Source organism: Homo sapiens, chromosome 17, assembly GCF_000001405.40.
Source record: "Homo sapiens chromosome 17, GRCh38.p14 Primary Assembly".
Classification (NCBI taxonomy): domain Eukaryota; kingdom Metazoa; phylum Chordata; class Mammalia; order Primates; family Hominidae; genus Homo; species Homo sapiens.
In genome coordinates this window covers 56092704-56116410 of record NC_000017.11, presented here as the reverse complement: position 1 = coordinate 56116410, position 23707 = coordinate 56092704, and the positions used below count along the sequence as shown (strand labels likewise).

General features: G+C 41.3%; 1 protein-coding gene across 4 annotated transcripts in view; it reads right to left on the bottom strand.

Moving 5' to 3' along the window:
- Positions 1 to 23707, bottom strand: part of ANKFN1 (ankyrin repeat and fibronectin type III domain containing 1) — a 470940-nt gene that overhangs the window by 400606 nt on the left and 46627 nt on the right. For 3 of the 4 annotated variants that reach the window (XM_017024263.2, XM_011524430.3, XM_011524431.3), the window contains exon 1: positions 5365 to 5437. The exons of the other annotated variant lie outside the window; for it this stretch is intronic. The gene's annotated coding sequence lies outside the window, so the exon portion shown is untranslated. Of the gene's footprint in view, positions 1 to 5364; positions 5438 to 23707 lie in introns of those variants that run through there. 4 annotated transcript variants of the gene reach the window in all.

Sequence of the window (23707 nt, the reverse complement as noted above, 5' to 3'; positions counted from 1 at the left end):
ACTTGGAAGGTCCAAACAAACCATATGCAAACAATACTACCTTTTGTTTATCCACTGGATTGTAAATCCTTTGAGTGTAAAAAGGTACATCCTGTTTATAATAATCCAATACTTGCTATATAAGGCCCTATTATCTGGAAGGCATGAAATACCACAAAGAATAAAGCATTATGCCTGAATTCAAGAGATTGTATGTCTAGTTGAGGAGACATATGTAAAAACAATGAATGCAATCTAGCATTCAGTATAAATATAGATAACATTAAGAAAGCTGAAAAAAGAGGATGCTCGGTTCTACCTGGGGACATGGCTGGGAAATGTCAGGAAAGACTTTGGAGAGGTGGTGATGTTTGAATTGAGTTATGAAAGATTTCCATTCCCCATATTGGCCACTGCAGTGCTCTATGCACAAAAAAGTTAATGCATATTTGGGAAATGGAACATTCAGTGTTGTCCTCTAAAATGTAATAGGATAGCTAGTAGGGAAGGTGCTAGAAAGCCTTGACTGTGCACCCTTGATTCCTGCCTGGCCGTTCCCCTGTAGGACCAGGGGCTCAAGAGAACCAGAACTCTGCTTGCTAGAACTAAGAAAACTGAGAGTCCTGTGACTTCTAGCCCCAGTGAGAATTCAGTCATTCAAAATTATCCTTTCTCCTGTATGCTGGAGCATTTTCTTCCCAGACATGTTAGCACAAGGTCCTTTTGCATTAAAGTGGACCAAAGCAAAGGAGAGGTATATGTGAGCTGGGGAGAATGAGTCTTCAGATGATCTCTCATTATTTTTCAATTAAATTTTGTTTTAAAATTATATAAGGAATAAATTTTTCAAACTCAACAGTCTTCCACATGGTTATAACTGTTTTGTTTGTTTTCTGCATGGTTATTACTGTTTTATTTGGCATGCATCCTTCCATTTACCTGTATAGATTATTAACATATATAATTTCATTGTGTGAGAGTAACAATTTTATATGATTGGTATATACTGGATGTGATATTCTCCAACTTGCTTCTTCTGTGTGTTTTGTTTTGAAGAATTTGGCATGTCAGTACTTACAGATCTGCTTCATTCACTTTAACATCTGCTTACTATCCCATTTCATGGATAACATGCTGAAGTCCCTGCAATTGTTCATCAATACAAGCAATGTCACCGCAGACATCCCTGACTGTGGCCCCTCAAATACAAATCACAGTGATTCTCCAAGGTAATAACAAGAAGAGTAACTGCTGAGACAAATGGCACAATATATTTCCATTGAAATTTTAATAGAACTATATTAGTTTTCTATTGCTGCTGTAATAAATTACCACAAACTTAGTAGCTTAAAACAATACAAAACCTATTATCTTGGAAGTCTGACATGGATCTCACTGCACTAAAATCAAAGTGTTGCTACGACTGCATTTATTTCTGGAGGCTTTAGGGGGAATCTGCTTGCTTGCCTTTTCCAGCTTCCGGGGGCTGTGCATACTCTTTGGCCCATGGCCCCTTCCTCCATCTTCAAAGCCAGCAATGGCAGATTGAGTCTTCAAAGCACATTGACCTTGCTGTCATTATTTCTCCTTCTCTGACTTTGATTCATCTGCCTCCCTCTTTCACTTTTAAGGACCCTTGAGATTGCATTGGCTGTCACTGGATAATATAGGATAATCTCTCTATTTTAAGATCGGCTGATTAGCAATTTTAATTCTATTTGTAAACTTAATTCCCCTTTGCCATGTGACCCAGTGAATTCACAGGCTCTGGGGATTAAGACATGGCTATTTTTGGGGTAGGAGCATTATTCTGCCAAGAGCTGTCCAAAGTGCTTTCCAAATGTATGTATTAATTTCTCACCCCTCACACTATGTTTGAGAGTACCTATTTCCTTATACTCTCACCAGCACTTGATGTTATGCTCTAAAATATTTGCCAATCTGGATGATGACAAATGAACCACTTCTAGTCCATTACAGGCACTCAAAAATTCCTGTTGACTGCATAAACGAAGGACTAGTGTTTTGTTTTTCCCTGATTACTAGCAAAGTTGAGCATCTTTTCACATGTGTGTTAGCCATTTGTACTTTCTGTTCTGTGAATTACCTGGTCTTCACTTTGTTCCATTTTTATCTTGAGGTGTCATTTCTTTATTGATGTGCAAGGGTTCTTAACTTGGTTATGTTTCTAAAAGCTGTCATCCAAAATCAGAAACAAGAAATAAAAAGGTGCTTTTGCAGACTCATTCTTCATTATATCTTTCTCTGTTTAACTAAAAGATGAAGAGTAATATAGAAAATATGAATATGGAGGAAACATGGACTTGCAGTTGGAGGCACAGATCCCTGTTTTGGTTCTCTTGCTTGGGTAGCTGTATAATCTTAGGTAAAGTCACTTCTCTCTGAGTCTTGGTTTCTCATCTACGCAACGAAATTTTTGTATTCCATGGCCTCTAAGATCCTCTTCTGTTCTGACGTCCAATTAGTTTGCAATTAGAAGATAATTAATCATTCCCCTCTGGCTAATTGGACTCTGCTCTACAAAGGATCAATGAATTTCCCTCTAACATCTATCTCTCCTAATCATATATCCATCTGACCTTCTCAATTGCCACTTAGTCACTGCTCAAAGACTCTATTTCTCCCTGTGGGTGTATGACTGCCTATTTGACTTATGATAACAATAGTAATATACTAGCTATTGTGTTTACTATTATTATGGTTAACAATTGTAGAGCCCAATGTTTATTTTCCAGGCACCGTGCCAAAGATTACACATGCACTGCCTCATTACAATAGTCCTAAGAAAATGACAACATTAGAGTTCCATTTTACGGATGAGAATGTTGAGATACACAGAAGGTGTGTAACTTGTCCATGGTTCCACAGTACATGTCCAGATATTCAATCAAAGCTTGTACAGTCTGACTTCACCAGCTTGTTTTCTACACAGCATGTAACAGGCTAAATAGGGGCCCTTTCCATTCTTTTATCTTGCTAACTTTTAACATAATTAGTGCTGCCTCATTAAAGAAGTCAGCCTGGGGCTCCTTTTCATTGTGCATGCAGTTCTGAGCTTAAACGGTCTCATTTTCTTTCATTTTTTGGGTTCTGTACAGTTCTCAATGACTATATTTTGTTTCATCTGAAGGTTTATTACCCAAAAATCCTAAAGATAAGGCTAGGTCCACCTCACTCCCAACCTTGGAAAAGCAGCGGAAATCAGCATTGGCATGTGATTTTCTACCCACCAGGTTGGCAAAAATGAAATGATGAATAATATCTAGCGGAGTGAATGCATGGCAAAAAGGGCACCATCACACACACCATCACACAGTGTAAATTAGCAGAGCACTTTCATAAGGTCACATGATAGTATCTTTGACGATATCAAAGTTTAAGTTGCATATACGATTTAGCTCAGTTAATTGCTCTTTGGGAAATTCATCCTACAGAAATACTACGTCATATAGAAATGCTATAGAAGTACACACATACACACATCAATTACATGCACACATATCGACATGCATATGTATGCATGTGTATATATATCTGATACATATTTGTTATTGTGAAGAAATAGGAACCATCTAAACTCTAACAATAGAAGAAAAGTTAAATAAACCATTGCAATCTATAGAATGGAACACTATACAATGTTTAAAAGAAATTAGGGTGTATCTACACATATTGGCATAGTTCTCCACGACATATTCTTAAGTGGAAAAAAGCTTGTTGCAGACCAAAATATATAGTGTGATTCTATTTAAAAGTTTAAGATAATCTAACCCCATGTGAATTTATTTTCATATATAATCTCCATGTGTGTGTTCCTGTTCATTTTTAGAAAACATTATCCAGCCAATGGTGGTTATATCTAGAGAGGGAAGGGAATAGATTTGGCTTGGATACATGGGTTAGAAAGAGAATTTCACTTTTTACTCTTTATACCTCTGTTCTGCTTGGCTATTTTACAATCAAGTATTACTTTAGTAATTAAAAATCAAAAATGGGAGAAAAAAGAAAAGACCAGAGTCTGGATAAAATTGATTTTAGTTGTAACCCGACTAGATCCTCACATTATGACTCATAAACAGTAAATCAGATTAAAGTAGAAACCACAGCTAAACTTCCTCACCATTCTGGAGGGAGGCCATCCTTCTGTAAGTCAACTCCCTCAGGAATGATATTAGAATGGTTTTTAGCCATGAACAAGCTCTGGAATTATACAATGCATAACTCTTCCTGGACTGTTAAAAATGACTTCTTGCTCTAATAAAAGACAGCATCATAATAGCAATGGCCCTAAATGTCTGAATAATTTTTATATCACTATAACAATTTTTTGTCAATAAAGCCTTGCATGAACAAATTTAATCTATAAGGTGAAGATAATTTCATCTGTAGCTAGCCCCTTGAGAATTTTGCCATGCACTTAAGTAAAAATATATAGCCCAGGCAACATACTCTTGATTCAGACCATAGATTTCTCCCTCAGATTACCATTTTTGTCCTTGGTTCAGCAGGCTGTGCCGCTGGAACAGCAGCCATTCTGCTCGTTATGATTTCAAGTGCTCTTCAGAGTTAATGGAATAAACTCAATGAGTTATGCCACCAGTATTTTGCCATCCTCTTTTTTTAAAGATGTACTTTATAATTATGTTAGCTAGTTACCTAATAACTTTAGCATTAATTATCAGACTTTTTCTTTCTGACCAACACCATCGATTTTCATTTTTACATACCCCAAACAGGTAATTTAACAAATTTAGAACTATGGGAGATGTCACCTAAGATGCTTATTTTGGGGGTTTGTTTGTATGTTTTTATTCCAGCATACATTTGTACCAAGGGATTTGTTCCTAGTAATCCAGCTTTACTACAGCAAATCTTTTTTTTTTTTTTTTGCCATTTATGAGAAGTTTTGTCTTAAATATTTACTTGTATTACATTTAGGTATGGCATGCATGGCTTCAGCAAAAAGCAGTATGATCATATTTCAAAGGGAGAAAGAGACTCACAGGCACACAAGGAGAGGCAGAGAGGTGGTAGGCAGAGAGTAAGTGGCATTTGAGCAGGTCCAATTGATGTGTGCCTGGGAAAGATGCAATGAGCATCTGATTCTCTGCAGACCAGGGTCCAGTTAACCAGGGAGAAAGTGATCACTCCTTACTGGAGGTGGAGGTGAGCACATGGGTGTGAATGGGCCCCAAGCCAGTGGGGAAGAGATTTGGATTCCCTCCAGGTTAAAGGAAGGAAGAAAATGGATTTCCATTCAAGTTTGAAAGGCCAGCTGCCAGGCTGTTAAGGGGCAGGGGGAGTGGGCCAGATGAATGAGGCCAAGAGCTACCCCTAAAACCTGAGAAAGAAGGGCAGACTTACCACCTGGGGCTCAGAAGCGGCCTGTCAGTGCTCCCAGCCTTCAGGCTGTTCCCCAGGGCTCCAGCTTGAGGCTGCCCAGCCAGCTCTGTTTAGAGACTTTTCACCATGGTTCCCAACCAGGAACTGGGAGCTCTGTGCAAACACAGCTACTGTGGTGGCATGCCGGGGTGAGGCACTTGGTCACTGTGTGTGCAGGTGGCATACCTTCTGCTAGGAGTGTCCTCAAGGAAATGAGGGACCTGACATTTTAGGTTAGGACTTTTTCCAACTTTCCTTTCCTGCAAAAGGTATTGTTGGGGTGAGTACATTGTTACCTGCAGCATGGTTTAAAGGAAGGAGTTCAAAGCAGGTATCAGTAGACCCAGAGTTTAGTCTTGGCCTTCATTCATTCATTCATTCACTTTGCCTTCATTCATTCATTCACTTTGCCTTCACTCATTTGTTCATTCATTCATTCAATCAATCTATATTTATTGAGAGCCTATTATATTCCAGGTGAAAGGCCCTGGGGTTATAAGGCGAGCAAAAGAGAAAAAGTCATGACTGATTTGGAAACCAGTAAGGGAGACAGACACTAATCGACTAGTCCCACAAGCAAATATATAATTACAAATTGTGATGTGTGATGAAGGAAAGGCTTCAGGTCTATGAACATTTATTAGAGTGAGGGTGGAGGAGGGAATATCTAGCCTGAGAAGTCAGGAGTGCTTTTCCGAAAAGTAAACAAATTAGTAAGAATTAACTAGATAAATGGGACGGGAGCCTTCTAGACAGGAGAAATAAAAGACCCTGAGCTAGAAAAGATGGTATGTATGGTGTGTTCAGGGAAGAAGGCTCGAGTGGCTAGAACACAAGAGTAAGAAGAAGGTTAGCTTAAAGTGAGGCTGGACCGCTTTCAGGCAGGGCTCAGTCGGGTTCTTTGTTGATGCTGTTGTTGTTAAATAATAACAGGAATCTTCAACTGGCCAACAATATTGGTTAATAAGAGCACTCTTTGCAATTAAGCACCACAAACTAACCAACCTCTCCTGGCCTTTAATAAAAGAAAGCTCTGACAAGTGAGGTGCAAGTTCTATGTCCCTATGAAGGAGCTGTTGGTAGAGCTAGCTTGACCCATAGCTGCATTCTTCCCAGCCTGGCCAGCCCTGCATTGTGTTCTAATATCAACAGTTCCCAAGTAGTGAACTCTTCTTATTAGCCTGGCACTGTGTTAAACACATCACACGCAGTATTTCATTTAATCCTCTCAGCAGCCTTAGATGGTTGTTTATTAGAACTGTTGACAGGTATTTCAGCTCTCCCCTTCCCAATTTGTATTAATACTGTACTTCCTACCTCCTCGAAGTTAGGTTTGGCCAAGTGGCCAGCTTTAGTCAATCCAAAGTGAGGAAAAGCAAGTATGTCATTTTCATGTGGGAGCATTTCATTGCCGGTGTTCTGTTCAACCTTTCCTTTTTTTTCAGCCATTCTGATTGTTCTGATTATGGCAGTGCATGTGTAAATCAGTGATTCTCAACCAGGGGTGATTTTTGCTTCCCATGGGACATTGGAAATTTCTGCAGATAGTTTGGGTTGTCACCACGGGGGAGGTGGTACTACTGGCAGCTGGTCGGTAGAGGTCAGAGATGCTGCTAAACATCCTGCAATGCACAGGACTTCCCTCACAACAAAGAATTATCTGGCCCCAAAATGTTAATAGTGCTGAGGTGGAGAACCATTTGTCTCGATGGAGGCTCCATCCACCCATGTCCCTGAGTAACCATAATGGGCAAATCCCTTCTGCTAACCTGCAGTGAACATAAGTTTGAATGAAAAACAAACCTTGGTTGTATCGAGCCACTGATAAATGTGAGATGCCTGTTACTCTGACATAAGCTCATTCTGACTGATAAATACAGTGGTAGATGCAGTGATTATCCTCATTTTATAAATCAGGAATCTGAGACTCAGAGATGTCAAGCAAGTTGCCCAAGACCACACAGCTAGGCAGAGCTGAGACTTTTACCCAGATCATCTGAACTTTAAAGCCTATGTGTTAACCACTCTATTAATGATTAACCAAATGTTAGTCATTCAGGATCCTGTTCACAGACCTCAGGGGAGAATGGCCTTAACCAAGAGCCACTTGGAAGAAAGTGGCTTACAAAATTACTCCTATTTATCTGATACCTGTTTGCTGAAAGAATTCAGAAAGATGCCGAGAAACAGGTTCAGCTTATAAAGCAAGATGGTATCTCAACATTGTAATATTTTGCTTTTGTTCCCCATACTTCCTTGTACATACAAAATAAAAAACCTTCTTCCTAGTGCTAATTCTAGTACTTTGGAGATATCCTGTTACTCCAGAAAAATTAGGATTGTTAGTTGTTGTTCATTTGCCAGAACTCTGGAGTCTGGGTTTGAACGTCAGTTCTGCCCTGTACTAGCTGCGTTATATATTGGTTAAGTTACTTAACCTCTCCGTGACTTAGTTTCCTTATTTGTAAAATCAGATGGAGTAGCAATAGTACTCTTCTCATGGGGTTATCAGGGGGATTTGAATATCCAATGTTTGCAATGGTTATCATATAGTAAGTGTGTTCTAAGCATTTGTTAAACACATGAAGTTTCTGGTGAAGGAATGCAAGGAGAAAAGAAGAGTCGAAAGAAGAAAAGCCCTGGTTGCCATCTAAGATGACTCAACGTGTAGGCATGTAATGAAAGTGCTATGGGAGGCCAGGCGCCGTGGCTCACACCTGTAATCCCAGCACTTTGGGAGGCTGAGGTGGGCAGATCACGAGGTCAAGAGATTGAGACCATCCTGGCCAATGTGGTGAAACCCCGTCTCTACTAAAAATACAAAAATTAGCCGGGCATGGTGGTGTGCACCTGTAATCCCAGCCACTCAGGAGGCTGAGGCAGGAGAATCACTTGAACCTGGGAGGCAGAGGTTGCAATTAGGCTGAGATCACACCACTGCACTCCAGCATGTGCAACAAGAGCAAGACTCCATCTCAAAACAAAAACAAAACCAAAAAATTAGCCAGGTGTGGTGGCGCATGCATGTAGTCCCAGCCACTTGGGAGGCTGAGACAGGGGAATCACTTGAACCTGGGAGGTGGAGGTTGCAGTAAGCTGAGATTGTGCCATTGCACTCCAGCCTGGCAACAGAGCAAGACTTTGTCTCAAAAAAATAAAAATATTTAAAAAATAATTTAAAAAAGGTGCTATAGGAATGCAGTGACAGTGAATGCGTTTGAGGGCAGGAAGTTCAGAGAAAGCTATTCAAAGGAACCACTGCTTGGGTCTAAAGAAAAGAGTAGGAGTTACCAGGTGAACACAGGGGAGGGGCCAGGTGTGAGACTGCCAGAAGAAGGCTAATGTGGACTGAGAGAAAAGGCAAGTTTGGATAATGTGGAGCAATTCCCCCTGGATGACTAGCTCAAAGGTGTGATAAGAGAGAACACTAGCGGGCTCTTTGGGATCAGGAAATAAAGAATTTTGACTGTAGCTTAGTTTCCCAACAAGCTCCTTAAACACAGCCCCTTAAAAATAAAGAAAACAGAGCCAGGCCCTAAAGCTGTGGGAATGAATAATTGCTCTGCCTTCACTCAGATATCACCTTACCTGACCTGTCATTGTAAAATTCATTGCTATGACCCTCCAAAAACTATCCAGATTAAATGAATGATGGTCTAGCGATTGGCCTTTTTTTGGGGACATGGATGGAGCATTTTGACAAGATCTAAAACCACCAAGCTAGATGGGCAGAATTCCTGGTCTCCATTTACTTCCTAAGTTCTTGGGCACCTTGAAACCTCCTTGGGACTTCAGGCAACTCAAGCCCACCCTTCAAGCTCTGCAGCCCCAGCCCAGCCAGCGCCCAAACTCCTGGGTTCTTTCAGCAACTTAGCTGCCCCCTGCCATGGCTTCTGTGGTGAGAGGAAACCAACATCCACCAAAGTTCATCCAGAAATCCAGGCACTTGATCCCTGACATCAAAGAAATGGAGCACTTTGCCCCCTGGATTATATGATTTTCTTTGGTACAGGGGTTGAGGCACATGCAAAATTGAAGCTTCCATGATGTTCTTGGGGACAGTATGAGAGTGAAGTAGTATTTCAACTGTAAAAACCTCTCAGTGTGTCTCTCTTCAGTAGATTCCTGGGAAAATGCCCACTGCTTCAGTTACCTAAGCTGGCTCCCAATAACAATCATTGTTATACAGAAACATAACCATTTCACTTTATACATTCTCAGGCGCCCTCCCTTGGATTTTCTATTTACTCCTCAGCAAAATCCAGAGGGAGAAATTGGTAGGACTGGACGGCCTTCAAGATGAGATTTTTGAGGAAAAGCAAATATTATTATTCCCAAGTGAGAAGATGAGGGAAATACTTCCCAGAAAAGGTAAATACTTGCCAACATGTCATGATTAAATTATGACAGTTCTGGGATCAGAAATTGGGATTTCAGATTCCAACCCTCTATCCAAGCTGCTAAGAGAAAATGAACCCACAGATTAATTTGGTGTTATCATCATCTGGCAGTGAAATCAATCCGCAAAGCCTAGCGTTTGAGAGCCAGGTGGGATTTTGTAGCTCAGTCAGTTCTGAGGTCTCTGTTTTATCGGTAAGGGGATCTGAGGTCCATGCTTACCTTTGTACACATGTAACATAAATTGCATTTCAGCTTATGTGCTGCTTTCACAACACTCATCTCACTTACTGTTGTCCTCATGACAACTCTAGGAAAGGGCAGAGCTGGTATCACTGGCCATGGATTTACAAAGGTACAAAAGGGATGGGTGGGGCAGAGGTTATTGGAACCCAGGTTTTAGAAACACACCTGGTTGGAGTCCTGGCTGTGTGACCCTGGGCAAGGTGACAGAAGTCATCTGTAAAATGGAGACAATAGTATCCTCCTTGCAGGGTTGCTTTAATGAATATATATTATAGTATTTAGAAAGTCTTAGCTCTATGTTGGGCACAGAATAAATACTCAGTGGATGACAGATAGTATGGATATTATTATTTTTAAAGTCTAAATCAAGGTTTCTCAACTTCTGCACTACTGACATTTTGGGCCAGGCCATTCTTTGCTGTAGGGGCTGTCATGAAAGTAACAGGATACTTAGCAGCATCCCGTGCCTTTACCTCCTCTCCCCAGTAACACCACCACTATCCTCTCACCACCCCAATGGTGACAATCAGAAATGCCTCCTGGGGAATGGGCAAAACTAAGTCTGGCTGAGAACCACTGATCTAAGGCTTTCTGACTCAGTTCACTGTGATGTAACTCTCTCTCTCCCTCTCTCCCTGTCTCATACACACACACACACACACACACACACACAGACAAAAAAACCCCCAAAACTCCAAAATTAACTGAAAAAAAGCAATAATAAACCCCAAGAAGGAGACAGACAGGAAGAGAAAAATGACAGACAGAGAGGAAGAGAAAAATGAATAAATGGAAGGAAGAAAAGAAGGAAGAAATAGAGAGAGGAAAGGAAGTCAGGAGGCAGGGAAGGAGGGAGGGAAGAAAGAAAAAGAGAAAGAGAAAGAAAAAAAGATACAAAGGAAGGATGGAAGGAAGGGAGAGAGTGAGAGAGAGAGGGAACAATTTCATCCAAAGGCACTGAATTGTTCCATAAAGCCGAGTATTTCACACGTGCCTCGGAGGTGTGCAGGGGTAGCTAGCAGACTCCCGTGATCAAGTGCACATCATTCTGGATTACTCTTTGCATTCCACCTCGTCCTCTGCCTGTCCTCTCAGCCCACACAGATTGTGTTCCATACAGAACCAGTCACTCATCAATCCCTCCAAATCCATGCTCCTTGACTATTGTTTCCACTGCTTGGAGAGGGTTTCCACATTCAGTGCGCCTGGTAAAAGCCTAGTTCTTTTTAAAGATGCTACCCAGGTTCATCTACCTGTGTGAGACCTTCTCACCCATTACCATCCAGGCAAAGTTGCTGCATATTTCCCTCTGTACACCCATTATATGCTCTATTCTTAAACTATTTGTCATTCTCCATGAAAATGACCAATTTCCATATTTCTCTTCCCCACAAAACTGTGACATGCTTGGGAGCAAAGATCACCTCTCACTCATCTTTGATTCTCAATACCCAGCCCCTGGCTGAAGGAGGCTTTGCAAAGCATATCTGAATGCATGAAAGTTTTTTTAATGTAGTTGTCCTGTGACCCTCTCCTCAAGGACTCTAGAATCCTGAAACACCATTGTGCAAAGATTTACAATACTACCTGCCTCCCTTCTGTCACCTCTTCTCTTCTCAAACATTACTCAAACAATTAATACCAGGGAGCAGAGCAGAAGCACAGGGCTCTGCCAAAGGGAAACGTGGACAGGACAGCACTGCTATCTGTCTTGTATTTGTCATGCAAATCACCTGAGCCTCCATGACTACTGTGGACACTGGGGCAGGAACCAGGGGAAGGGCTAGCTCTGGGCACCTCCAGCCAGCAGCCTCCCCAAACCTGATACCCACAGGGGACTATGCTTCTCTATTCTGAAGGTTGAAAAAAGGGTGGCACAGCAGTAAGTGTGCTGAACTGGGTGTCAGAAAACCCTGATGGGACCTAGGTTCCATGACTAACTTTCTCTGTGACTTTGCTCAAGCCAGCTCCCCTCTCTGGGTCTCAGCATTCTCATCTATGAAATGAGGAGCTTGCCTTTGACAAGTGTTTCACAAATTGAGAATTGTGATCCATCAAGAGGTCTAAAGCCATTATTTAAAAAATGAAATAGACTAGAAAAGAAAGTATTGGAATGCCTTGTGCTTTGCAAAGGCAAGTATATTTTTTGAGAAATGTTTCCCAGGTGAGTGTATGTGTATACAATCTACATATTAAAACGGGTTGCAATGAAGTTTAAATGACATCAGGTCACATGATTTCTAAATTTCCTTTCAACTCCAGCTTTTTTATTCCATGAATGAGCCAAGAAGAAGACAGAGACATCCTCAGAACCAGAACCAGAGGATATCAATGGCTTGCTCTGCTCATAGTCCTATTTTATATTGGAGCCACATCAGAGAATATTTATAATTACTGGGCATGCCACAAACAGCCAATCTATTTCCTTTGCCAAGAATATCCCTCCTTTCCTCCCCATCTTACTCTGACCGCTTGGTACCTGGTGAAGTCCCACAGATCCCTGAAGAGCCAGTTCAAATATCACTTTGTCAATTTCCCCAAGGCCCCAGGCAGAATGAACTGCTGCTTCCTGGATGGGCCCTGCAACTCTGTACATAACCCTCTACCAACACTTTTTGTTTTATTTGAGGCAGCTGTTTATGTCTGCTTTCCCCTACAGACTGGGAACTCTGGGAGCAAGATCTGTTTATTTCATTTCCTTATCATCAGCCTGAGACACAGTCTTGATTATGCTGGTTGAATGAAACTGAATTCTCTTTTCAGCAGATCCTACATCTGCTGGGCAGTTCAGGAAAAGAAATCACTTTTACCTCATGGAAGAACCACACACCCAATGGGACTCGGTGGAGCACTGTCGCCCAACCCTCTGCAAGCCCCTGGGCTATTGCTGGCAAGGAGAAGCCATTGCTCAAACTCCCCCATGATACATGCTGCTCTCCGGTCCTCCTCCAGCAGATGTTCTCTAGAAGAAGCTGCTGTGTTCCACTTTCCTGCAGTGCCTTTGGCTTTGGCCTTTTCCAGACTTGATAACCAGAGGCTGCCATTAATGGCATCTGTGCCTTCCATCCTGCGCCTTTGATCCTGCTCAGCTCTGCTCCTCTTGTTCTTTCCAGGGATGCAGCCTGCAGAACTCAGGGTGTACAATTCTAGGCAGGATACATAGCATGGCAGAATGAGATTCCTTTTCATGTCGCTCATTACCTGAATTGCCTCACTCTCTCCTTCAGTGCTGATTGACTTTTCAAAGGCGACTGCAGTCAGCATTTTTGCTCATTTTGTAGATATCCAGATGCACACAGTCCCCAGGATCATAGAGGTAGCAGCCCTATTAAATGTCCCGCTGTGTTAACTACCAAACAGCAGATGCTCATTTACATATTTTGCTGCATACTATTTATGTAATATTTAATTATCAAACATCCATGTTTCTCAGAGCTTTGATTCCCCCACCAGACACAATTCTCTCATTAGAACTTCAATATTTGGGTTACAATATTTTAGCGATAGGCTGGGCACAGTGGCTCATGCCTTTAATCCCAGTGCTTTGAGAGGTCAAGGCAGGAGGATCGCTTGAGCAAGGGAGTTTGAGGCCAGCCTGGGTAACAGAGTAAGATCCTGCCTCTAATAAAAATGATGATGTTATAGGAATAGTGTTATTAATTCAGTGATTTCCAAAATCTGCATGCACACCTCAGTCATGTGGAGAACTTGACAATACAGATTCCTGTGACTCTATTTCCTGAAAAAAAAAAAAGGCTAGGAAGGGCTTGGGCATTTTTCAGGATCTCCCCCAGTGGATTCTAATGCTTGTCCCTGTTTGAGAGCCACTGCTTCATATGACACTGTCAGGGAATGAGATGTTCCCTATTCATGAACTCCAGATTAATACCATTTACAAATTCAAGAATTTAACCATTTAACCATTTATGTAATATTGCTGTAAAATGTAATTTATTAAACAGAATGTAGGGAACATAATTAGCCTTTATATTTATGACAAATGTCACCTTGAATCTTAAGTACTATGATGTAGTCTAGTATAGACTAGTATAGTCTAGTATAGACAATTATACAAGTATTTATAATTGACCGTATAGTAAAAGAGGCATTGTTTGCCCCTTCACTGAATGGCTCCAGATAAAATGATGTTAAAAGAAGGAGTATCTCCAGATTTTGACTGCAGGGCAGGGGGCGATGCATTACTGTCTGTTAATATGTAAAAACTCTTTACAATGAGTTCTTTTTTGTACACACATAGGATGTGGCTTCACTAGTATATGGAGTTTGAAACATTTCCCAAGCGTTGGAGGTGGGTTTCCAGGGGTACTTCTTGGTGATAAATGCAATCTCTGCCCTTAAGGACAATCATTTTAAATGGCTGAAACAGGAATGGAATCTTTGAAAACTATGTTCAAATCGACATAACTAATTGCTTCTCAAACATTACTGTGAGGGAGCATCTCAGTTGCTTGTTTGAAACACAGATCTTATAGCCCTACCTCCAGAGACTCTGATTCATTAGGTAGTAGGATGAGGCCCAGAATCTGCATTTTAAATAAGAGCTTCAGGTATTCTGATGCAAGAGACTGGTCAACATGTGCTTCTCAAACTATTTCTGAATGATCAGTTTTATTTTTGCATCTCAATTTGCTGCCAATACCCGGTCCCTCAGCTCATTCATGGAACTTAACCACACAAATTTGACTAGATCCAAACTGGTCTATGTCCCATTCTACAAAAATTATCTACTGATGATGTCTTGGAGGTTGTGCCAGTGACAGGTTGCTTAAAAAGTTTCTAAGTACTTACTCTTGAGGACTGGCACTGGTGCACAGAGCACACTTTGAGTAGTACTATCATATAACATGCTAAGAAATACTTCATTAAAGTATGAGTTGCTGAGAAGTCCCTAATCCTAGTAATCCTAGGGGACCTAACAATCATGGCTTTTGACACAAATGAATAAATAATTGGTTAAAGTGTAGGTTAATGAGGAGGGAAGTTTGGCAGTATGTGATTTAGCTTGAGGAGAAGAGAATGGAAAGATTCATCTGTGACATTGATTTGTTTCCTATATGGTAAAGAAGAAGTGGGGAGGAAAGAATTGTAAGAAGACAATTGTCTTTGTCATTTCAGGTTGCTGTAACAGAATACCATACACTGGTGGATTAACCAGTGTTAATAGACATTTATTTCTCATAGCTCTGCAGGCTGAAGAGTCTAAAATCAAGACTCTGGAAGATCTAGGGTCTTGTGAGAGCCTACTGTTCACTTCCTGGATTGTAGAGGGCCATTGTCTCATTGTATCCACGTACGGCAGAAAGTGGGGGTGCAGGTGGATCCCAATGTCTCCTCCTCCACTCTCATGACCTAATCTGATTACGTCCCAAAGGCCCTACCTCCAAATACCATCACATTGAAGGTTAGAATTTCAACATGTGAATTTCAGGAGGACACAGTCAGCCCATAATAACAATGGTACAGAACCCTCTCTAAAGAGTTCTGTGTTCTTAATCCAGGAAAACCTAGATAGGATCCAAACTACAGGTGAAGTTTGGGGGAACCCCAAAGGACAAATTCACTACATCCTAAATTTGGGAATTGGGACAGAATAGACTTTTTCTTTAAGATGCCCCTGAGGATGCTCAGGTCTAAGGCTTCAGCTGGAAAGCTTGGCTTGGAGAAGGGAAGGGGTATCTGAAGACTACTAAGTCTCTGTTACCCTACTGCCTCCTCTGATCTCCTCTCTCACTAGGGGATTGCAAAAACACTGGAATTAACTTTAGAAATAGAAGGCCAAGAGCTATCATTATAGCAACTGTTTACTATTGCTACTTAATTAATACGTCATAAAATAATCATCATGTGGTTCACTAGATGCATGTCAGGGTAGCTTTGATGACTACACTAAAACATCTCTGCTACATTTTTCATGTGTAATACATTGATCTGTCCACAATCTGAAGGAAAATATTGTCTCCAAACACAACAGGGATCCATAGGTTATGCTCACTGGCTCCATTTCATCACCTACAACAATCATCAGAAAAGTTGAATGGCACAGACATCTAACCTTAAAATCCTAGGAGCTCCAGCAGGCTCCTTCCACAATCTCATTTTCCATATCTGATTCATCCGTTACTTGTATAACAACTTCCTTGCAGAGAAGATGGGACAGATACAGAATACTTGAGAGTGCACAAGTTCTTTCTGGTTTCTGGTCCTGCCTTCACTGCCATTTTGCAGCAGAATTGTGGCTTGAATATTGGAGAGAATAATTATTTTGATCAAATTATTAGTGCCTGTGGGGTTCACTTGCATCTAATTTGCTCCATCTTTTCTGTGTTTGTTGCCGCTTTCTTTGTTAGAGTTTCGTCTCTTCCTTCTGAAATTGGCATAGCCACCAAACCAGTCTCCCTCTTCTGCTCATTTCTCTCATCTATCTTCCATGTACAACCAGAAGGGTGAAGTGACTGAGTCACTCTCCAGTGAATGTCCTTCTGTAAAGTTACCCATTGGCTAGAGTCCCAGTACTTGAGCACGGTGGAATGCCTCATGACTTGGCTTTTGTTGCCTCTCAAGCAACAGTTTCCACCTCCATCATTACCCTACCCTCCGGCCATGCAGAATTATCTTCTGTCTCTCTAATGAAGAACAGACTTTCTTTAATCTTGTTGGTTCTCTACCAGGAACCTCCTTCTCCTTAGATTCTGCCTGGAGAATTTCTACTCGTTCTTTAAGGCTGTGCTCCAATGTCTAAATTTCTGGCTTCTCCAGGATACCAAGACCCATCTGGCAAATAAGGACTGGGTTTAATCAACCTTTATGTCCCCAGAGTACAACATCTGGTGGCAGAAATCTAGTAAGCACTTAATCTACACGTGTTGAACATCCTTAGAAGAATCTAAAGGTGTTGAACACCCTTGGAAGAATGGTGGAAGCATGATGAGTTAGAGTGGAATGAGAAGGAGAGGAAGGAGGAAAGCTTGGAATTCTAAGATAGTACCAACTCCTCCCAGTCTAAAATCAGCATTCTATTCACCTGAGATTTTTCAGATATGTTACATGAAACATCAGTGAAGGAATAAAGCCAGAAAATTAAGCATCGAAGTAACTTGTGATCTGATCCATCAATCCTTTTCTGTGTTCTTCAGAGTGAAAGCCTCAGTTCTGCCCTGTTTGACTAACAAGATTCAGTACTTAAATAGGAACCACTTTCTCTCCCCTTAATCCATTGCTCATAAAGCCTCCTGGGGTAGAAAATTGGTGCACAGAAAAATAGCATGTCACTTCTGAGTTGTGACAAAGTAAGACTATCCCTCCATTACAGCTCCTGTTCTAAACCTGCTGGGCAAATAATAAAATAGTAAAGAACAACTTGGCAGGTGTGGACGGGCTGGAAAGATGCAGCTCACTTTTCTCTTAACCTCAGGGCATCTGAGCTTGGCAGATGTAACCGCAAAGACATTGTGTCCTTCTCTTCCTTTTATCTAGCACCCAACACACACACACACATGCACACACGCACACACACACCCCTCTGACTTCTAGAGATTTACTCTCGGCAGCAGTAGAATAAATGTATTTATTGCTACTTTTCTGGTCATACATTTGAAGGTGAGGTTTGGGTTGCAGTGAGGTCTTCAAATATAAATTATAATTTCAAAGTTTCTAAGGTTCTTTATGCAGTTAAAGGGGAAGGCTTTCATTCATTTACTCAATAAGTAATTAGAGAGCTTTCACTTTGATCCAAGTGCTTTTCTAGGTTCTGGAGATATATCAGTTAATAAAACAAAGGGCCTGCCCTTATGGAGCTTACGTGATAGAGTAGGAGATAGATAATACATAAATGAACTCATAAGTATATCACGTGTCAGAGAGTGATGAATGCTATGAAGAACAGTAAATCTGGCTGGTGGAATGGGGATAGAGTATGTGCGCGCGCGTGTGTGTGTGTGTGTGTGTGTTTGTGTGTATGTGTGTAGCAGGGGCTATTTTTGTATGAAAGTGTCAAAAGACATCTCCCTGAGATGAAATATGAACAAATGTAAATAGAGACTACATTAGTTTCTTATGACTGCTGTAACAGATTACCATAAACTATGTGTCTTGAAACAATGGAAATTCATTCTCACACAGTTCTGGAGACCAGAAGTCTGAAATCAGGACTTCAGTAGGGCCATCCTCCTTCTCTAGGCTCTAGGGGTGAATCCATTCTTTTCCAGCTTCTGGCAGCTGTCAGCAATTCTTTGACTTGTGATTGCATCACTCCCACCTCTGCCTCTATGGTTATATTGCCTCCTCCAATCTCCTTCTGCTTCTCTCTTATAAAGATATTGTGATGGCATTTAGAGCCCACCCAAGAATCCAGGATAAGCTCCCCTTTTCAAGATCCTTAACTAAATCTTATCTTTTCTATAGAAGATAACATTCACAGATTTTGGAGATCAGACCATGGATATATTTTTGGAGGGCTACCATTGAGTCCCCCGAATATGAGAAATAATATTACCCAAATAATATGATAAAGATAGGAAATCTGGGGGAGCAGCACTTCAGGCCAAGAAAACAGCAAGTGCTAAGGCTCTGAACCAGCATACCTTGCCTGATAAAGGAGGGGCAAGAAAGCCAGTGTGCCTGGATGAAAAGACGAGGCTGACAGAGTGTAGCTGTGAAGATCATGTAGGCTGGAAAGGACTTTCACAGAACTCGCTGGAAGGTTCTGAGCAGAAGAGTGATATGAACTGACTGTGTTTCACCTAAGGACTCTGCTTAGACTGCGGAGAGAGACTGTGCACAAACTCCACCCTAACAGACCACTGATGCATTTTTGAAGATGTGCAGATAAGCCTAGAACAAACTTTCAGTGGGCCTGGAGTTTGAAGAATAAAAATTCTCAAGTAAGAAAGAAACAAGCATTTTGGAGGTTACAAACTGGTGGCAGGAAAGAGAGAAGGGAGGATGGTGTGGACTACAGAGACACGTCCAGTAAGAGGAAGGCAAGTTGGAATCTAAGGCAGGGCAAACCTGGGGAATAACCAGCAGTAAATGATCCTTGGTGGGCAGGGATACCTGGGTTATCTTAGCCATACAATCTTCAAAATCTTCATTTTTAAGTTATTGCCTATATTGTCCCTTTAACTTTTATTTTAGGTTCAAGGGTACATGTGCAGGTTTGTTATATAGGTAAATTGCATGTCATAGGAGTTTGGTGTGCAGATTATTCTGTCACTCAGGTAATAAGCATAGTACCTGATAGTTTTTTGATGTTCACCCTCCTCCTACCCTCCACCCTCAAGTACACATGTATCCGTCTGTACTCAATGTTTAGCTCCCACTTATAATCGAGTATATGTGATATTTGGTTTTCTGCTCCTCTCTTAATTCACTTAGGATAATGGCCTCTGGCTCCATGTATGTTGCTGCAAAGGACATGATATCATTCTTGTTAGTGACTGCGTAGTATTCCATGGTGTATATGTACCACATTTTCTTCATCCAGCTTACTGTTGATAGACATTTAAGTTGGTTCTTTATCTTCACTATTGTGAATATTGCTGCAATAAACACACATATGCATGTGTCTTTACGGTAGAATGATTTATATTCCTTTGGGTATACACCCAATAATGGGATTGCTGGGTCAAATCATAGTTCTGTTTTAAGATTTAAATTTGAGAAATTGCCACACAGCTTTCCACAATGGCTGAATTAATTTACATTTCCACCAGCAGTGTATAAACATTCTCTTTTCTCTGCAACCTCGCCAGCATTTTTGTGGTTTTGATTTGCATTTCTCTGATGATTAGTGATGTTGAACTTTTTTTTTCTGTTGTTCCTCTTCCATTATCCTAAACCATCAGTAAAGATTTACTACCAAACATACTACCCTTGGGTTAGAGTTCCTTTGCATAAAAGCAATTCCAACTGTTCTAAAGCACTTTGGGACTATTGTTTGGAATCTGAACCAAAGTCTGGTAGACTTTAATTCAAATTTCATCTCTAGGACTATTTGGGGTGGGCAGAGGCAGGCAGAAGATACTGAGAAATGAAAACATGAGAGAATGGTAACTAACCATTGTAGAGCACAGGACAATAAGGTACCAGTAATAGGTCAGGTCATTTTACATCTCTCTCTCATCAGACAACCACATCCTGGCCTCTGGCTGGTGTGGGAAGAGCTATGCCCTGTGGAAACGTAGCTCATAGCAGCTGTAGAGAAGGGACAAATGTGGACCTGTCATTTGTTGGGCACTTAACATGTGCCAGGACCTGTCCATAAATTCTCTTTAATTTAGTGCTAACAACAACCTTACAAGTAAACTATTATTATGGCCACTTTACAGGCAAGAAAACTGAGGCCTGGGGAAATAAGGTAAAATCGTTCAAGGTCATATAACCAATAAACAGCAGGGTTGGGATTTCCACTAGGCATCTCTGATTCCAAAGAGCCCACGTTCTTTACATCAGACTAAAATCCTAGGGCTCAGTTAGGCCACTCTGGTCCAAGGACTTCTTATTTCTCTGGGAATTTGTTGACTTAACTAAGTCAGACATTGCACAGATCCTGCATTTTGGATTTCTGCTTCCATCGTGGACACTCCTGTGAGTCACAGACCATCTTTCAATGCCTGCCCAACCCAGTGACCTCCCCTGGCTTTCACAAGGAACTCAACATGCTTTGCGCTCAGGGCATAAGCACTTCCCCCAGACATAAAGCCTGGCTTCTTTCTGTATAGCTTCGCTAGCTCTCTAGGACACCTCATCCAAATTAAAGCATTCAGACCAGATGTGATGGCTCTTGCCTGTAGTCCCAGCACTTTGGGAGGCTGAGGCGGGAAGATTGCTTGAGGCCAGGAGTTCAAGACCAGCCTGAGCAAAATAGCAAGATCCCATCTCAACAACAACAACAAAAAGACGCAAAAATTAGCTGGGTGTGGCGGCATGCACCTGTAGTTCCAGATACTTGAGAGGCTGAGGTAGGAGGATTGATTGAGCCTAGGAGTTCAAGGTTGCACTGAGCTATGATTCCAACACTTCCCTTTAGCCTGAGACCCTGAATAAGACCACGTATCAGAAAAAAAAAAAAAAGTAAAGCATTCAACAAGCAGCTGGGTGAGTTTCCTCTGAACTTATCCTGATGTTAGTCAATCACAGGGCTGAAAATAGTTACATTGCTCTTAAAAGGCCTATTTTTCCAAATCAGCAATATTCCTTATCAACACCCAGTTTGGGCAAGTGTTGATGTAGGCCCTATATTTAGCATCTGTATTCTTTTGCTTGCACAGTACATGGGTCTCTCTAAAGAAGCTGTTTCCACAAGCTTATACTAGAGTGAGCCATTGTATAAAGATTTTAGGCTGTTTACTTGGGACTTGGAGCACAATTTAACCCTTACTGCTATTTGTAATTAACCCAAAATTCAGTTTTGAAGCAGGCAGTTTAATTAGGATAGCAATGATAGCCAGCATTCACTAGTGCTAATTTCATTCTGAATAGCTTACGTGCACAGTCTCATTAAGTCCTCACAATAATCATATTGGAATCCATTTAATAGAAGAAACAGGCTGGGCGCTATGGCTCATGCCTGTAATCCCGACACTTTGGGAGGTCAAGGTGGGTGGATCACGAAGTCAGGAGATCAAGACCATCCTGGCCAACATGGTGAAACCCCGTCTCTACTAAAAATACAAAAAAAAAAAAAAAAAACCCAATTAGCTGGGCGTGGTGGTGTGCGCCTGTAGTCCCAGCTACACGGGAGGCTGAGGCAGGAGAATCACTTGATCCCAGGAGGCGGAGGTTGCAGTGAGCTGAGATCATGCCACTGCACTCCAGCCTGGCAGCCTGGCAGCCTGGCAGCCTGGCGACAAAACAAGACTTCGCCTCAAAAAAAAAAAAAAAAAAAAAAAAGAAGAAACAACTGAGAACTGAGACAGTATTTAAGTACAGTCATTTCTGCTATAATGCAATATATACATTCCTAAGTGTTATTATCTTTCTATGCTAAAATTATGTTGAAAATTATGCTGAAAATCATAATTTTACTCTGCAAAACCATGAAATAATATCCATAGGGCTTATGAGAAAATTTGGCTTGTGTCTGCATTAGTTTCCTAGGGTTGCCATCAAAAATACCACAAAGTGCATCTCACAGTTCTAGAGGCCAGAAGTCCAAAATCAAGGTGTGGGCAGGGTTGGTTCCTTCTGAGGGCTGTAAGGTTCACTCTGTTCCATGCCCCTCTCCTGTCTTCTGGTGGCTTGCTGGCAATCTTTCACATTTCTTGGGATGTAGATGCATCACCCTGCTCTCTGCCTTTATGGTCATACGGTGTACTCCCTGTGTGAGTTCACAGATTCTTCCTCTGTACCTGTCCAAATTTCTCCTTTTTATAAGGACAGAAATTATAATGGATGAGGACTTACCCGATTACTTCACTTTAAATTCATTACTTCTGAAAAGACCTAATGTCCAAATAAGGTTACATTCTGAGGTATTGGGGATTAGGACTTCAACATACTAATGGTTGGGGCGCACAATTCAACTTATAACAGGTACCACACTCAAGAAACTTCATCAGTTACACATTAAAATAAAGGTAGGGAACTCATAAAAACAGTAGTATAGTTTTATGCACATTACCTAGTTAAGAAATACACAAATACTACAATAAATACGGAACTTCACCTTGGGGCTTGACATTTACTTGCGAAAGCAAACTTGGGAAGTTGTAGAAGGGGGATCATCTGAAATCAGAAGGCAAGTTGTAGCACTTCTTGGATGGGTGTGGCTCATAACGCATGCAGTGAACTGAGGAAGTTGTTTGAAATGTGTGCATTTCGTGTATTCCTAAATGGCAGTTTTTATTCCTGGGTGCCGTTTTTTGCGCTTAGTATTCCATGAGAAGGAAATTGTGCATAAGCAAATGGGAAGACTGCCTGATGCTTAAAATCTTCCCTATATGCCAGTGTCTCTGGAGCCACTGGCACGTTCAAAACAAGCACTACGGCAGAAGGGACTTTACTTTGCCCAAGGTCACACAGTCATAGTTGAGAAGCTAGGTTTTAAGCCCAAGTAGACTGACACCATGGCCCACATCCTGTCACTAAGCTGCTGAACTCTTTGTGCTAGAAGGAAATTAATAAAATAAATGATTTAATATCATGCCATCATGACAGGTCTTGGTCATGTTCCCTGTGGAAAGCAGAATCTTAGGATACACCTCTCTCCCCGCCAAGGTGGCCCACCCTGATTCCTGGGACTGTGAACATCATGAGATATCATGCCTGAGATCACATTATGCTGCCTGGCATAAAGGATTTTGCAGATATGATTAAAATTATTAATTTGTTTGATTATGAATTAATCAAAAGGCATGCTAGCCAGGTGAACCTAATCTAATCACAGGAACCCTTGAAGAGTAAAGTGTTTTCTCTGGCTGCAGGCAGAGAGAATCAAAGCATGAGAAAATTCCAAGCAACTTGGCAGGCATTGAGTCTGGAGGTCCCCAGGGAGAGTGGTCTCTAAGAGAAGAGAACAACCCCACACCCACAGCCAACAAGGAAAAAGGGTTTTCAGTCCTACGACCACTTGAAACTGAATTCTGCCAACAAAATGAGCTTGGAAGCAGATTCTCCCCCAGACCCTCCCAGATGAGACTCTAGACGGCCAAAACCTTGACTT